The 16,547-nt window shown below is 36.1% G+C and overlaps 1 protein-coding gene across 36 annotated transcripts in view; it reads right to left on the reverse strand.

Moving 5' to 3' along the window:
- Positions 1 to 16,547, reverse strand: part of CEP83 (centrosomal protein 83) — a 194,793-nt gene that overhangs the window by 131,842 nt on the left and 46,404 nt on the right. For 20 of the 36 annotated variants that reach the window (XR_007063082.1, XR_007063081.1, XR_007063083.1 and 17 more), the window contains 4 exons: positions 14,815 to 15,088; positions 14,194 to 14,344; positions 5,667 to 5,759; positions 3,347 to 3,478 (listed from right to left, as the gene is read on the reverse strand). Coding sequence is in view for 27 of the 36 variants with exons in the window: in XM_047428923.1 (XP_047284879.1) it covers positions 3,347 to 3,478; positions 5,667 to 5,759; positions 14,194 to 14,344; positions 14,815 to 14,987 (549 nt within the window). In the remaining 9 variants the exon portion in view is untranslated. Of the gene's footprint in view, positions 1 to 3,346; positions 3,479 to 3,701; positions 4,832 to 5,047; positions 5,389 to 5,666; positions 5,760 to 13,117; positions 13,177 to 14,193; positions 14,345 to 14,814; positions 15,089 to 16,547 lie in introns of those variants that run through there. The other 16 variants (NR_160431.1, NM_001346459.2, NM_001346458.2 and 13 more) reach the window with 10 other exon arrangements.

Below are 16,547 nucleotides of genomic sequence, written 5' to 3' on the forward strand. Positions count from 1 at the left end.
AATAATAATAATAATGATAAATTAATGACTATACCAACCCCTTAAAAATTTTAATGAGAATCACTTAGTCCTTCATAAGTGAAAAATAGATTAGTCATCAGATTTCGAATGCAGGTTTCACTATTTCAAAAACAACAAAACTAAGAAACTAGAGAATACAAATAATCCTTACCAGATAAGTATCATCATTAGATTTTAAAAGGAAAGTACAAAATAAAGCACCACTATATGAAACCTTAGGGTTTTCTCTTCAATATACTAAATCTTCGTTTTAGGCTAGAAATCTTTATCATTCCTATTTTCCACAAATTTTTACATGCAATTCCTTTAAGTCTATCATAATTATGGATTCAAAACCCTTCATACCACATGTAGTGTATATATTACCAGCTATTTAACAAAATTGCAGTTGCTGGATGGCCCATAATCAGAGTGGCAACTTCAAACTGCCGGTCACCTTCGAATGGGTAAGGTCCAGGTTTTGTGTTGACCACACACTGTCGAGACTCAGGTATAGGGCATATAGAATACGAGTGGTGGACTGGTTTGTGGGTTTGAGGGTCTGGGTGGAAGATTACAAATTCTTCTTTGTGCAAAGTGTAGGAGTACAACATTGAACATGGACTTAGCATATGTATGGTCTCCCCCACTCCTTCTTAAGCCGAAGCTGGAGAGAATGGGCATTTTGTAAATGTTATGGCATATGCAAATATAATATAATGGCATTAAATAAAAACAATAAGGGAACTGACTAAAACAAAACAGGCTGTGGGCTGGGAGTTGGTATATCTGAGTTCTACTATAACCTGGCTGCTGACATTCTCTGAGACTTTGAACAATTCATGTTGTGGGAAGTCAGGGACCCCAAATGGAGGGACCGGCTGGAGTCATGGCAGAGGAACATAAATTATGAAGATTTCATTTTAATATGGACATTTATCAGTTCCCAAATTAATACTTTTATCATTTCTTATGCCTGTCTTACTTCAATCTCTTAATCCTGTTATCTTCATAAGCTGAGGATGTACATCACCTCAGGACCACTATAACTGTGTTAACTGTACAAATTTGATTGTAAAACGTGTGTTTGAACAATATGAAATCAGTGCACCTTGAAAAAGAATAGAATAACAGCGATTTTCAGGGAACAAGGGAAGACAACCATAAGGTCTGACTGCCTGCGGGGTCAGACAAAATAGAGCCATATTTTTCTTCTTGCAGAGAGCCTATAAACAGACATGCAATAAGGAAGATATCGCTAAATTCTTTTCCTGGCAAGGAATATTAATAATTAATACCCTGGGGAAGGAATGCATTCCTGGGGGGAGGTCTATAAACGGCTGCTCTGGGAGTGTCTGTCTTATGCGGTTGAGATAAGGACTGAAATACACCCTGGTCTCCTGCAGTACCCTCAGGCTTATTAAGATTGGGAAACCCCACCCTGGTAAATTTGGGGTCAGACCAGTTCTCTGCTCTCGAACTCTGTTTTCTGTTGTTTAAGATGTTTATCAAGACAATACATGCACCACTGAACATAGAGCCTTATCAGTAATTCTGCTTTTGCCCTTTGCCTTGTGATCTTTGTTTCTGCCCTTTGCCTTTTGATCTTTGTTCTCCTTTTTGCCCTTTGAAGCATGTGATCTTTTTGTGACCTACTCCCTGTTCTTATGCCCCCTCCCCTTTTGAAATCCTTAATAAATCTTGCTGGCTTTGAGGCTCAGGTGGGCATCACAGTCCTACCAATATGTGACGGCACCCCCAGGGGCCGAGCTGTAAAATTCCTCTCTTTGTACTCTTTATTTCTCAGCCGGCCAACACTTACAGAAAATAGAAAGAACCTACATTGAAATATTGGGGGTGGGTTCCCCCAATAAATTCACTTATCTTGTGCCTTAGTTTATTCATTTAAAATGAAGAAAATAAGGGCTGGGCACGATAGTCTATGCCTCTAATTCCAGCACTTTGAGAGGCTGAGGCAGGAGGATCACTTGAGGCCAGTAGTCCGAGATCAGCTGGGGCAACATAGCAAGGCCCCATCTCTACAAGAGTTTTTGTATTTTTTGTTTATTTGTTTGTTTTATTAGCCAGGTGAGGTAGTACATGCCTGTGGTCCTAGCTACTTGGGTACCTGAGGCAGGAGGATCACTTGAGCTGAAGTTATAGTGAGTTATTATTGCGCCACTGCATTCCAGCCTGGGCCACAGAGCAAGACCTCCTCTTGATCAATCAATCAAAGAAAATAAGACAGTCTAGCCCCATCTCACTGACTATTGTAATAGAAGTGAGATAATATGTGAATAAAGCACTTAAAGCCTTAAAGCTATAAAGAGTTTTTTTTAATGTGAAAAACTATTATAAATATTTATAGTGTTCTGGTACTACACTGTCAATGGACACAAATGTTCCAAGGTTCATATAGCTTCTTACAGATGAAACACTCATGGCACTTTGCTCACTAATAAGAATAAATCAGTCCGATCCAAATAGAACAGTTTTAGTTTTTATTAGATGCCTAGAACACTGTAAATATTTAGTAATTGGTAAAGGAAGGTAAGTATATTTTAACTCTTAATTCTAAATAAAGACAATGCAATAAATTTAAAATGTAGATATGTTTGTAAACAGAATATTTCACATAACTATAGATACCAACCTATTTTTTATGAATATGGCAGGATAAAATTAGTATTCCTCTCTTTCAATTTGAAAAATATTCCAAAAGCAACACGACCAATGAAAAACAGAAACCCCATTTTGGGCAAAACTAGGAGACAAACCACAAAACGAGTAGAAAGGCTGCCAAAAGCAATGGAGATGAAGTGGGAATGTATGCTGTAGGCAGCATAAAGAGAACATTCCAGTTGCAAATGGCAGAAAAAAACAAAGTCTATTTCTTGAAGTTGATGGGTACACTTTAAGGTATAAACCCCTTGTTTATATCAAAGTGCACAGGCTGACAGCTAGTGCTTTCCCATATGTGGTTTGGTTCCAAGAAGCAGAAAGAACAATGCTAAGTAAGGAATCACACTAACTATATTTGCAGAGAGAAGTCCATCTCTGTGGCTACATAAGACAAAAGACTTTGTACAATGAAACTCCCCAAAGTTGTCTATCTCCATTGGCTGGACAAAATAAAGGATAAATAGAATTTAAAAGATCTACACCCAAAACAGAACTTTCACAAAAAAACTGTTGATACGAAGCTGATGAAAATCATGATGAATACTCCACCATTAATGAATAAAACTATACAATCGACTCTAATTTGAAATTTTTAAAAATATATAATTATAAAATTGTGTTGACCAGAACAATAACAAAGAAACTCGTATAATCAATCACTTACCTCTGATTCATATTTTATTTTTCCTTCATCTAAAATACGTGCATACTCTTCCTTCTGGTGTTCAAATTCTGACTTGAGAAATGTATGTTCATAGCGAAGCTTATTATATACAGCTCTATACTTTTCTACCTCCTAAAGGGAGAATGCATTTATCATAGATTTATAAACAAAATTCGTACTCACTCCAATAGTCACTTTTACAAATATAATTTTAAATTACATTATAATGATAGCCACTCTAAAAGTAAAAAATAAATTTAACAGAAATACAAATGAATTTGGAAAGGTCTTCATAACAAGTATCCTACATACAGAAGTAGTACATTCCTGAAAAGATATCCAAAAAGTAAATTACCATTCAATTAATCTTATTTCTTCACTGGTTCTCATTATGATAAAGTGTATAGTATGAGGAAAGTGTTGATCTCTGGACTTAAATAAAATAACATGTAAGAATGTAGCACACCTTTCAAAATATAGATTTTTTAAATGTATAATTTAGTATAAGTAAAACAAATTCAAAAGAGATGTAAGGTTATTGTAATATTTAGTACAGCATTTTAACATCTAATTAAATATTACAATGATAGTTTAACTCAACAGACCAACCTGAAGAATACGTGCAGCATCATCTCTACTGACTAACCAGGAACACATGCAATTCCCTGGAGTGTTCTCATCCTGCTTCCTAACAGTACTCTATGAAAGCTGCTGGCATTCTGAATACCCAACAAGAAACTCAGGCCACAAAGCAGAAAGATACAGGAGACACTAACAGGAAATTCGATAACAAGGAAAGCATGTCTCCTAAAATACCCAGCTCACCATAAATCTTTAGTTCAAAGATTTCTAAGCCAGTTTGTAAACCAAGAAAATGGGTTTCATTATTTTACTGCAGATATACTTTGCTTTGATTTAAAAAAAAAAGTTTTTATTGAACTTGGTCACTTATCTTGGGTCTGATCTTGTTTATTTACAAAAATTAAACCTACTCCCAAACCATAATGGCTTGCCATTAGGACTGTATTAGAAAGATCATATTATCAAGCCAGTAAGCCATTATAAAAGACGATTCTACAACTGTTTTGGGCAATTACCGCATCACTAGACTACAGCTCTCCAAAGGGGCCCATTTTGAAGGGGACAATAATCATTTGTATGTATAAGGCCAGGTATATTTGTTAAATAAGGTAACATATATAAAATGTCTACCAAGTATCTAATATACTTGTTATCTGCAGTCTTATCCTGTCCCCTTTATTAAGCATTTAGTCATATTATATCAACACTTCACCAAAGGAGACTAGTCTCAACCTGAAGTAAAACTGTAACAGATTTTTACTTTTATGAAGTGGCATGAAACTCATTCTCTCTTTCAACAAATATTAATTGAGCACCTACTGTATACCAAAATCTGTTCTAGGAACTTGGAATATAACAATGAACAAAACAGGTAAAGGTTCCTCCTCTCATGCAACTTCCATTCTAGAGGTGGTAAAACAGAAAATAAACACAATAAATAAGCAAATTATACAGCACAGTAGAAGGTATGTATACCAGAAAAAAAAATAAAAAACAGAGCAAGGTAAGGGGGTCTAAAGGTCTAAGCAGTAATGGGAAAGGCAGGTTGCAGTATTAAATAGGTAGATGGGAGCAGTCAAAGTAGGCCCCATTGAGAAAGTGACATTTTAGCAGACTTACAAGAGATGAAGTTTGCCACGACGTATCTGGAGGGAGAGTATTCAAGGCAAAAGAGATGTGCCAATTAGGCTGGGCATGGTGGCTCAGGCCTGTAATCCCAACACTTTGGGAGGCCGAGGCGGGCAGATCACTTGAGATCAGGAGTTCAAAACCAGCTGGCCAATATGGTGAAACCCCGTTTCTACTAAAAATACAAAAATTAGCCAGGTACGGTGGTGCGTGCCTGTAATCCCAGCTACTTGGGAGGCTGAAGCAAGAGAATCGCTTGAACCCGAGAGGCGGAGGTTGAAGTGAGCCGAGATCACGCCACTGCACTCCAGGCTGGGCAACAGAGCCAGACTCTGTCGCAAAAAAATTAAAAAAGAAATAAAATTAAAAATAAAAATAAAGAAACGCACCAATTCTGGAATGCCAAAGAAACATCAGTAGGCCAATGTGGAAAAAGGAAAGGAGATCAGAGAGGTAATGGGAGTTCAATCCTGTGAAGCCTTAGAGGCCACTGCAATGACTGAGTAAAAGGGGGAACTACTGCAGGGTTTTGGGGTAGGGGAATGATGCTTTTCATCAAGACTTTGATCCCATGAGGATAAATGCATAGTAAACAACATAAGTTACTTACTTCATCTAGATTCCTAAAACGTTCTCTCATTGGAGTTTCTAATTCTTGTTGTATTTGGGCTCTTAGCAATTCCAATTTTTGTGGAGTTAATATCTAATATGTAGAGAAATGCAAACAATATAAAATCACATTAAAATCAAGAATTCTCCATATTTCAAAGCCTCTCTCCTAATTATGACAATGGAATTCATGAAAGTTTTTGCAATATAGTTTTTTTACAGTGATCACTATACAAATAGAATCATCATTTGAAATAATACTTTAAGAATCTCAATTTCAGGCTCTTGGAGATGTCAAAAATTCCATTAACATGAAGTAAAGACAATTACTGATTATTATTGCTATTGTTAGGAATAACTATGTTGGCAGCTAAGACTATCATGTTGTATACAATGGCTAATAGTCTAGTTATTTTCCAAAGCAGGCAAAATAAAGGTGTAACAATTTGTTATACCAAAGAGAACCTTTCAGACTTATTTTCAATTAGAAAAGGCTCATTTTTACTCTCACACTGTACCTAATTTAGGCTTCTCCTTGTCACACTCTTTTATAGAACTCGTATTTTAATAAGTAATTAAATATTTATGTAAGTCCCATGTGGGAAAACACAGTCTTTATTCACCGTTGTATTCCCAATACCTCCCACCAATGTCTGGCACATAGGAACCACTCAACTATTTCATGAATGAAGGAGGAACAAATACTAGTTGTAAAAAAAAAAAAAAAAAATCTAAAGTTTGCATGTATATTAATTTCTATAAAAATGATAATGTTCAGTTTCCTTTTTTATGAAGAGTCCAAATATTGTATTCAAAATATTACATTTTACTGAATGGAGAGCTTACTATATATAAAGCATTGTACAATGCACTGTAACCTACATACCATCCTGTTCTAAGCACATTATATGCATTACTTTATTTAATTCCTACAACAATGCCACAGTATAGCTATGCTGAGGCACACAAGGTATCTAAATAACTTTATAAAGATCACAAAAACTCACATGAAGCACATATCTCCCCATAAAAACTTCAAACTCTGGTGTTAAAAATAACTCATACACACAAATAACTATAAAAGTAGGCAATACAGGCTTACCAGACAGGTAAAAAAGAGAAAACACATTTAGGATAGAAGGCATGACACGTCAAAGGAATGGGAAAACTAAAGCTTATATAGAACCCTTATATAGAAAGCTTATAGAACCCAAACTCAAGCCAGGTAACATTTTAATTTGCCTGGGTGTCAGAGACTGTATGGGAGAAAAGTGATTCTCAAAGGTGAGTTAAAGCCATTTTGAATGGGACCACATTAAGTACTACAGAAAATTTAAAATTGTGGGACCCTATATGCACACTGGTAGAAATATCTAAACACTGTAACATTTCCAAATGCCACCTTGGAGGGCTGCACTCTGGCTGGAAACAAAAGGAAAATTAGGTTGCAGCCAAAGAGTGAAAGGTTCCTGAATACCAGGTTTAGACTCTTATTATTTATTCAGTATTCAATAGTATTTACTTTAAAAATTTATTTTATTTAAAATGAATATATACAATTACATAAATAAAATAATTCAAACAAAAGACTAAAAAGTCTTCTCACTTCAGTAATCCAATTTCCTTTTATTGAAGCAATCATTGTCAATAACTTATGTACCCTTCCTAAAACAATCTACAGATACACAAGCATGTATATCACTTTTGATTTCTATACAAAAAGGATATTGTACATATATTTTTCTGTACCTTATTTATTGAAGGTTTTTAAGCTTAAGAGTGACACTACCATATCTATATTTTACGAAGAAGCAAGATGAATCAAAAGCTTTAGTGGGAGAGTAGCTGTAGCTGTGGGAAGAAGAGGCAGTAAATGGAGCCAAAGAAACCAGACAGAAAGCTCATGTCATAATCTGGTTTACGGTATCAAGTATCAAGTCTGGGTGACAACATCAAGAGTCCAAACTAAGATGAGGTAGCAATTAAAAGGAAGAGATTAATAGGTAAAGCTTACATGGCTCCTGTTTCAAATGATCTAACTTCAAAACTAGGCAAGCAAAACCATGGGAAAATTAAGAAAATCTGAACAAAGGTGGGATATTAAAAGGTATTAATGAATAAGTATTTTAAATATGGCAAAGGTATTGTGATTATGCTTTTAAGACAGACTGCACTGATTTGTTATAGAGATATATACTCAATTATTTGTTGAAAGAATATTATTTGATTCAAAATAATCCAGAAACATTGAGGAAAAAAGTGGAAGTGGGTGGGAGAAAGTAGTAGATAAAACAAGCCTGGCTCAGAATGAATAATTATTAATGCTGGATGATGGGTACATGGGAATGCATTACATGTTTGAGATTTCCAAAACCAAAAGTTAAACTGAAAGTAAAAAGCCTTCCACTTTCAGCCAAGATAGAATAAGAGCCCAGATTCGCTCTCTTGCCTGAAACAAACAAAAGAACAGACAAAAATTAAACAGTTTGCAAGACACTAGACATAAGAAAGCAAAAGGCAGATCCCTGAGAGACACAAAACATAGAAGATAAGCTTTGAGAGTTTTCAGGACCTGGCACCGGAAAGGATACCTATGCAGTCATGAGGGACTCCCTGAGTTGAGGAGATGAAACTGAGCATCCAAGGACAGTGGGGTGGTTAGAGTCCTAAGACAGGGTAGCAGAGAAAAGAGGGCACAGAAAGACAACTATGAAGACCTACAAAAAGTCTTGACTCATTCAGTAGAGTACTGATTAACACATGTGTGCAAGGAAACTACCTAAGGCTAGGCAAATACACACCTGAAAGGATTAGAAGGATGAATACGCAGAGCTCACAAAGACCTAAGAATAGTTTCTGTTCCCCAAAAACAGATTAAAATCCTTTGTTTCATAAAGAAATTGTTATACTACTCAGAAGAGTCTTGCCTCAGTGGTGGGAAATAATTAGCACTACACTAAATACTACTCTGCTCCCACTTAAATCTTAAAAGCAAGACCCAGAAAGATAAAACTGTTTCCAAATAATTTAACTGTGTCCCAAAATAAAGCTCAAGAACATGTATCAGAATATAAAAATATTGGGAGGTGGAGATTGCAGTGAGCTGAGATCACTCCATTGCACTCCAGCCTGTGCAACAAGAGTAAAACTCCGTCTCAAAAACAAAACAAAACAAAACAAAAACAACAACAACAACAACAACAACAAAAATCCAGCATTTTAAAAACAAAGTTCACAGTATCTAACATCCAATAAAAATTTACCAGGCATGCAGAGAAGCATGAGAGAGAGAGAGAGAGTGAGAGTGAGTGTGTGTGTGTGTGGTGGGGGCAGGGGGGATAAACTTAAAACAGGCCCAGAAATGACACAGATGTCATTAAAACTTTATTGTACAGTTATTGTAACTGAATTCCATATGTTCAAAGAACTAGAGAAAAGACTGAACATGTTGGATAGAGATAAAAAGACCAAGGCCGGGCAAGGTGGCTCACGCCTGTAATCCCAGCACTTTGGGAGGCCGAGGCAGGCAGATCACGAGCTCAGGAGATTGAGACCATCCTGGCTAACATGGTGAAACCCCATGTCTACTAACAATAAAAAATTTAAAAATTAACCAGGCGTGGTGGCGGGCACCTATAGTCCCAGCTACTCAGGAGGCTAAGGCAGTAGAATGGTATGAACACAGGAGGCGGAGCTTGCAGTGAGCCAAGATCGCGCCACTGCACTCCAGCCTGGGCGACACAGAGAGACTCTGTCTCAAAACAAAAAAAAAAAAACAAAATTGAGCTTCCAGAGACGAAAACTACAATTTCTGAGATGAAAATTACACTGCATGGAATTAATGGCAGGTTAGATACTGCAGAAGAAAAAATCAATCAATCTGAAAACATGGCAACAGAAACTAACCAAAATGAAGCACAGAGACAAAAAATACTAAAAATAAATTAATAAACAACATCAGCAAGCTATGGCAGAACTTTAAGTGGTCTAATATTAGAATGTAATTAAGAGTCTCCAAAGGAGGTGAAAGAGGAGAAAGAAAATATTTTTAGAAGTAATCTCCAAAAATTTTCAGTTTGATAAAAACTGTAAACCCATAGACCTATGGAACTCAATAAACCCCAAGCACTACAGATATAAAAAAAACTGCAAAGTATGTCAATCAAATTGCTTAAAACCAGCAATAAAGAGAACAGCAGCCAAAAAACCAGACAAAGTGCACTGCAAAGAACAAAGATAACCTGTGCTCACTACCCTGTAGAGTGATGTAGCTGCACAATATCCATGCAGCTTCTAGCATTATATGTTCAATTACATCACAGATGCCTCTTGGAAACAACAGTGCTTTAAATCCTGTAATGGTGTGCACCTCACCACTGGCCTGTGCAATCTAATAGCATACAACAGTTTAGGGGTCTTCTGATCTGAGGTCTCTGACAAAGCATCTCTAACTTTTTCTTACCTCCTAGGAATCTTATTAAAAACAAATACACACATAATAAATTCTCTCTTCCTCTGTCTCTCCCCATCTCTCCCTCTCCTATCCCCTATACCTCCAAAGCACACATAAACCAAGACACCGACTGAATTAGAGGATTTTTCCCATCCCATTTTAGGAAAAAATATTCTCTCTTAGGCTACTTTTTGTTTGTTTGTTTGTTTTGGAGAGAGAAAGAGTCTCGCTCTGTCGCCCAGGCTGGGGTGCAGTGGCACGATCTTGGCTCACTGCAACCTCCGCCTCCAGGTTCAAACAATTCTCATGCCTCACCCTCCTGAGCAGCTGGGAAGACAAGCATGTACCACTACACCCAGCTAATATTTGTATTTTCAATGGAGACAGGGTTTCACCATGTTGGCCAGGCTGGTCTCGAACTCCTGACCTCAGGTGATCCACACAACTCGGCCTCCCAAAGATCTGGGATTAGTCATGAGCCACTGCACCCAGCAGTGTCTTAGACTTCTAATGGAATATTGCCACTACTTGTCTCCAAAGAAACATAAGAATGCTTTATCATACAACAGTCTAGGTGTCATTACCTATTTTAAATCTATAAAAACAAATCTTTAACACTGCAGTACTTGCCATTTAATAATCTAAAATAGGCCAATCTTTTACAAAGAATACTTTAAGGCGGCAAATACTGCTATGCCAAAAATTCTTAATAAATTAATGACTGAAACTGAGTATTATACTTTGATCTGAGCTTCCCAGCAGCCAAAACAAAATGGGAACCTGTATACTAGGTTATACAGTTTTCATTAGCACAAAAAGAGTATATTAATCATTGGTAAAGTAATTTCCGTTTTATTAGAATATATCAAATGATCCCCATATTTAAAAAGGTTTTGCTAACATGGTACATAGTAACACAATAACAACATGTACTGACCACTTACTAGATCAAAGTACCATACTAATACTTTTTTTTGAGTCAGGGTCTCGCGCTGTTGCCCAGGGTAAAGTGTGGTGGTGTAACCATGGCTCCCTGAAGCCTCAAACTCCTAGGCTCAAACAAGTCTCCTGACTCAGCCTCTCTAGTAGCTGGGACTACAGGTGCATGCCACTATGTCAGGCTAACTTATTTTACTTTACTTTTTAGAGACAGAGTTACCCAGTTACGTTACCCAGGCTGGTTTCAAACTCCTAGCCTCAAGTGATCCTCCTGCCTCCTGAAGTTCTCAAGGTGGGAGCCACCATGCTCAGCCTGAACTAACACTTTCTATGCACTGTCTCATTTCATCCTTACAGTCATCCTATGAGCTAGGCACTATTATCATTACCATTCACTACTGATGCAGAAATGTTCTTTAAATGAATATCTCTTATATCTTTTTCCTATAAAAGCCAAAGAGATGACATTAAATCTTAGAAAAAGCATTTTTGTAGGCAGACTAGATAATGCACGTATATTTTAAAAATAATCATCTTTCATAAACCTTCATTGAAATATTTCTTGATCTTTGTTGAATTTACTTTTCTAAACTTACAATTTGCGCAAATTGCAAGCATCCATTAAACAAATAGCTAAATTGCTTCAAAATGTGTGTTTATATGTATACATGATGTTTCTTTAGCTTATTTTTGCCAAATAAATATCACACAGAAACTAGATATGTTTATCTTAAAAAACAGAAGCCTTACTAGATATGTTTATCTTAAAAAACAGAAGCCTTACTAGATAAATTATATTTGTGAGCAAACATTTGGGAAGTTTTCACATGGAGGAACATCCAAAGTTACCAACAGGGAGGCTATAGGGTAGATGACTTCATTTTAATAGGAGAGAGAAAATGTTTAACATACTTTAATCTATAAATACAATTGGATCACTTTAAAAAGTTCACCAGGTTCTCTAGCACTGAAAGCACTGAAGCAGAAAATGAAGAGAGTCCTGTCTGAAAGATGTTCTAAAAAGGATTCTGCTTTGGACAGTGTATTCGTTTCCTAGGTTGCCATAATAAAATACCAGAAACGACGCAGCTTTAAATAACAGAAGTTTGTTCTTTCACAGTTTTGGAGGCTATTAGTCTGAAATCAAGGTGTGTTGACAGGCCTTGCTCCCCCTAAAATCTGCAGGGAAGAAACTTTCCTTGCCTCTTTCTAGCTTCTGGAGCACTTAAATCTCTGCCTCCACCATCACATAGTGCTCCTCTCTACCCCATCTGTCTCCATCTCTCTTCTCCTCTTTTTTTAAGGACACCAGTAATATTGAGTTAAAGGCTCATCATACTCCAATATGACCTCATCAGCTTAACTAATTACATCTGTAATGAACCTACATCCAAATAAGGTCACCTTCTGAGGTACTAGGAGTTAGGACTTCAACATATCCTGGTTGGGGATACAACTCAACCCATAATAGATTCAAAGAAAAACTAGATGATTACCAACTCTAAGATGCTGAGGCTGTAGGTATGTTTGACACAGACAGTGCAATATATGAACAACAATCCCAATTCATTCATTTATTTCAATTTTTCACGTCATTCATTCAACAAATAGATGTTTACTAGGCATTATCCTAAACACTGAAGACACACTGAAAAAAAGTTCCTGCCTTCATGGAGCCTGAATTCAAATAAACATGTCATAATCTATGAATATTTACTATGTGGAAAGTATGGCAGTAAAAATGTAGATGTTATCTCATTAGTCCTCACAACTCTTGTTAAGCAGAAACTTTTATCCGCTTTACCACATGAGAAAACTAGGCATAGAGACATAGTTACTTGTTGAAGTTATCATCTTCTGGAAGAACTGTCCCTTTTTTTTCATTATAAACATCCTTTTTATCTTTAGTGATACTCTTTGTCTGGAAGTCTCTTTTATCTGAATTAATATAACTACTCCAGCCTTCTGGATGTGCTTTACTTACTTTCTGGATGTGCTTGGTACAAATAATCACATTTAGATGTCACTCTCATGAAACAGAATAATTAAATTTGCAATACCTGAAGAATCTCTCAAATATCTTGGGTTCAGCATTCACAGCTTCCACTCATACAGGGCTCTAAATTTTTGCAAAACAAATTAATGCATTGATTCTACAGGCTTAAATTACATTTCCCTCTTCGATTTACATTTCTGAGGTTTATATTTGTATATTTAAATGTCCTAAATATACCTAGGAATGAAACAGTGAGCATAGTGGAGGCTCCAAGCCAGGCTTAGTGGTGTTCCCAGCAATGGTAGATTTGAAAAAGTTATTGAATGACAAACTTACAAGGCTTCTGTCAAAGGATATCTAAGAGTTGGGTGATATGCCAGACTAGGTGACTTGAAAGATGCCTTCTTACTCTATGAACTTCTGACTCTAATATTAATAATACCTTATTATTTGTACCAATCAGATTGTTAGGCAGAAATAAATAGCTGGTGCTCTTCAGAGATTAAATAAATATGGGAAAATATTATTCGTGAGAACCTACTAATCTGAAATTTACAGGAAATTTGACTGGAGTTTAAAGTCTGGCTTTGCTCAATTTTCCAGACAAATGAAAAAATGAATAGCGTGAAAATGATCTAAAGAAACTGTACTTCAGCACTTTGGAGACAACTATCTTTTGCTTTACAAACCCATTTGTGTTACAATGTACACATAAATTATGTTCACATACTGTTTTTACAGTCTCTTTTAAGAAGCTCTTTAAGAATAGCTGTCCTTTTTTAGCTTTCAGTTATAATGCATATACAAATACTAGTAACTCTTTTAAAAAAATTCTTTAATTCTGAATTTTTATCAATTCAAACTCACTTTTTCCCTAATTATTCTTAATGGTTAAATATTATTTATATCAGAATAGGCAATATAATACCAATTTACATAAAATAACAGTTTCATGGCTCCCTTACATGGTAGCTAACATTCTAAAATATATGAAAGAAGATTAAATTGTACCACTTGGAGATACAGCAAAGTAATCATTAAGGATATAGACAGAAATTGCCATATTCACCAAAACTACTTACTTCCACTACGTATCTGACTGCTTTTATACTAACTCAAAACTCAAATATATTTTCTCACCTGCAGTTTCATTTCTTCTAAATCTTTAGTTTTCTCTACTAATTCTCCTCTTAGTTCTTCAAGCAGGAGCTGAAGTTTTTCCTGCTGAGTTTGCTTTTCATTAAACAGGTGCTTGAGTTCATTTTGTAACTTTACATGTTCATTCTGCAACCTGGTTTTTTTTAAAGAGAATTCAATTTTGAGTAAATCCTTTCTTTCTAATTGCATTACTTTATGTAAAGTCAATCAACACCACAGAAAAACAAGACCAATATCACACATTCCTTTAAACCCACAAGTATCTTTTATTTACAGAGTTTCATTTAATTATTAACACTGTAGTTTTGGAATGCAATTTTACTTTGGTGGGAGATGGGGAACACATTTAGCCATCTGGATACATTTAATCTTATACGTCCTGCTACTTTCAAAATAAGGCTTATAAATTCATAACCCACTTGATATCATACTTAGTTTGGAACAAAGTAATTTTAAAGTAAAAATTTTACTATATTAAAAAAGTTTTAAATGTATACATTGCAAAATAACAAAATTATACTATATTCTATAGCAAACATTCAGCCAAGATAATGCCAATAACTTTTTAAAACCAAACCCCACTTCTAGATTTAAGTAATTTACCTTGTGTGTTCAGCCTTCAGTGTCTGATAATTAGCTTTATGATGCTCACATCGTAACCTTTCATCAATTAACATTTTCTGGAACTCCGACTGAGAACCTGTCAATCCACTGTCTCCACCAGGAGGAAAATTATTGGGAAAAGTGTCCATATCGGTAAATGTGCTGACAACCATGTAAAAATAAGTTTTGGCTTTCTTACTGTTTTAGTTTTCTTTCCAAGGGTATTTCCCACTCCTTTCTTGCTAAGGCAGAATCTCAGGAAGCCAAATTATACCTGCACAGAGAAATAAACATAATTACATAATTTGCGATCAGTAAACGTAAGCCTCCTTTAATGTTACATATTTTTATCACTTTTATTATTCTTTTTTTTTTCTTTTTTTTTTTTTTTTGAGAGGAGTCTGCTCTGTTGCCCAGGCTAGAGTGCAATGGTGTGATCTCGGCTCACTGCAACCTCCACTCCCAAGTTCAAGCAATTCTCCTGCCTCAGCTTCCTGAATAGCTGGGATTACAGGCGCCTGCCACCATACCCGGCTAATTTTTTTTTTTTTTTGAGACGGAGTCTCGCTCGTTCGCCCAGGCTGGAGTACAGTGGCGCTATCTCGACTCACTGCAACCTCCGCCTCCCGGGTTCACGCCATTCTCCTGCCTCAGCCTCCCGAGTAGCTGGGACTACAGGAGCCCGCCACCACGCTCGGCTAATTTTTTGTATTTTTAGTAGAGACAGGGTTTCACCATGCTGGCTAAGCTGGTCTCGAACTCCTGACATCAGGCATTCTGCCTGCCTCGGCCTCCCAAAGTGCTGGGATTACAGGCGTGAGCCACCACGCTCAGCCTCTCCTTATCATTTTTATTACAAAGCCCAATTCTCAGATTTTAATTTGTTCATAAAACAAAATGCAAATATAAAGCTGAATCACACCTTGAACAATTTTCTTTACCTCCATGCAGCTTCTATGCTTCTATGACCATCAAAATCACATCTTCAAGTATTAACCTAGCTCCACTAGAAGCAGACTTTCCCAGTTTAGGTAGTCTTAAATTCACAAACCAGAGTCATGTTTCCTGAAGCTACCACAGTAAGCTTCAAGTATAGATCCTGGTATAAAATCCATACTCCCAAATCAGAGGAAAAGCTATTTGGAACTTGGTAACTGGCTAGGGAGAATCAAGGTCTTCAAAAGGTGACCTTCAGCAAGTAACTATGCCTATGATTAATGCTTTGAAGGGTCTTTTACTTGACACAAGGCAAGCTGCACCCAGACTACAGATTCACATGAGAAATTTGTCAACACATAAATATTGATCAACTCCTATGTGTTATACACTGTGTTAAGAAAACTAAATCTCACCTATCTCCAAAAGCACTGACTCAGTATTACAAACGTCACTGTTTATTTCATCTAGAAATAAAAAATGATGTTTCAAAGTGTTCTTATAACTAAGAACAAAAATTTTAATTAAAATAGTTGTCTCCTTTAATTTCTTTCTCTAGTCCCATAATACATACACACACACACACACACACACACACACACACACACACACATACATACATATTTTTTTCCTGATAGAATCTTCCTTAGCCATGGGTTATTACAAATCACTTCTTATAACAAAAAAAAATCTTTGTCCTATGCAAACCGACCATTAAATTATTCAGCCTTGCTTGAATTATACCATCTCTGATAAATTAGTGTGATATCTACGTATTACTTAAGACAATCTTTAAA

This window comes from Homo sapiens, chromosome 12 (genome assembly GCF_000001405.40).
Source record: "Homo sapiens chromosome 12, GRCh38.p14 Primary Assembly".
NCBI classification, from domain to species: Eukaryota; Metazoa; Chordata; class Mammalia; order Primates; family Hominidae; genus Homo; species Homo sapiens.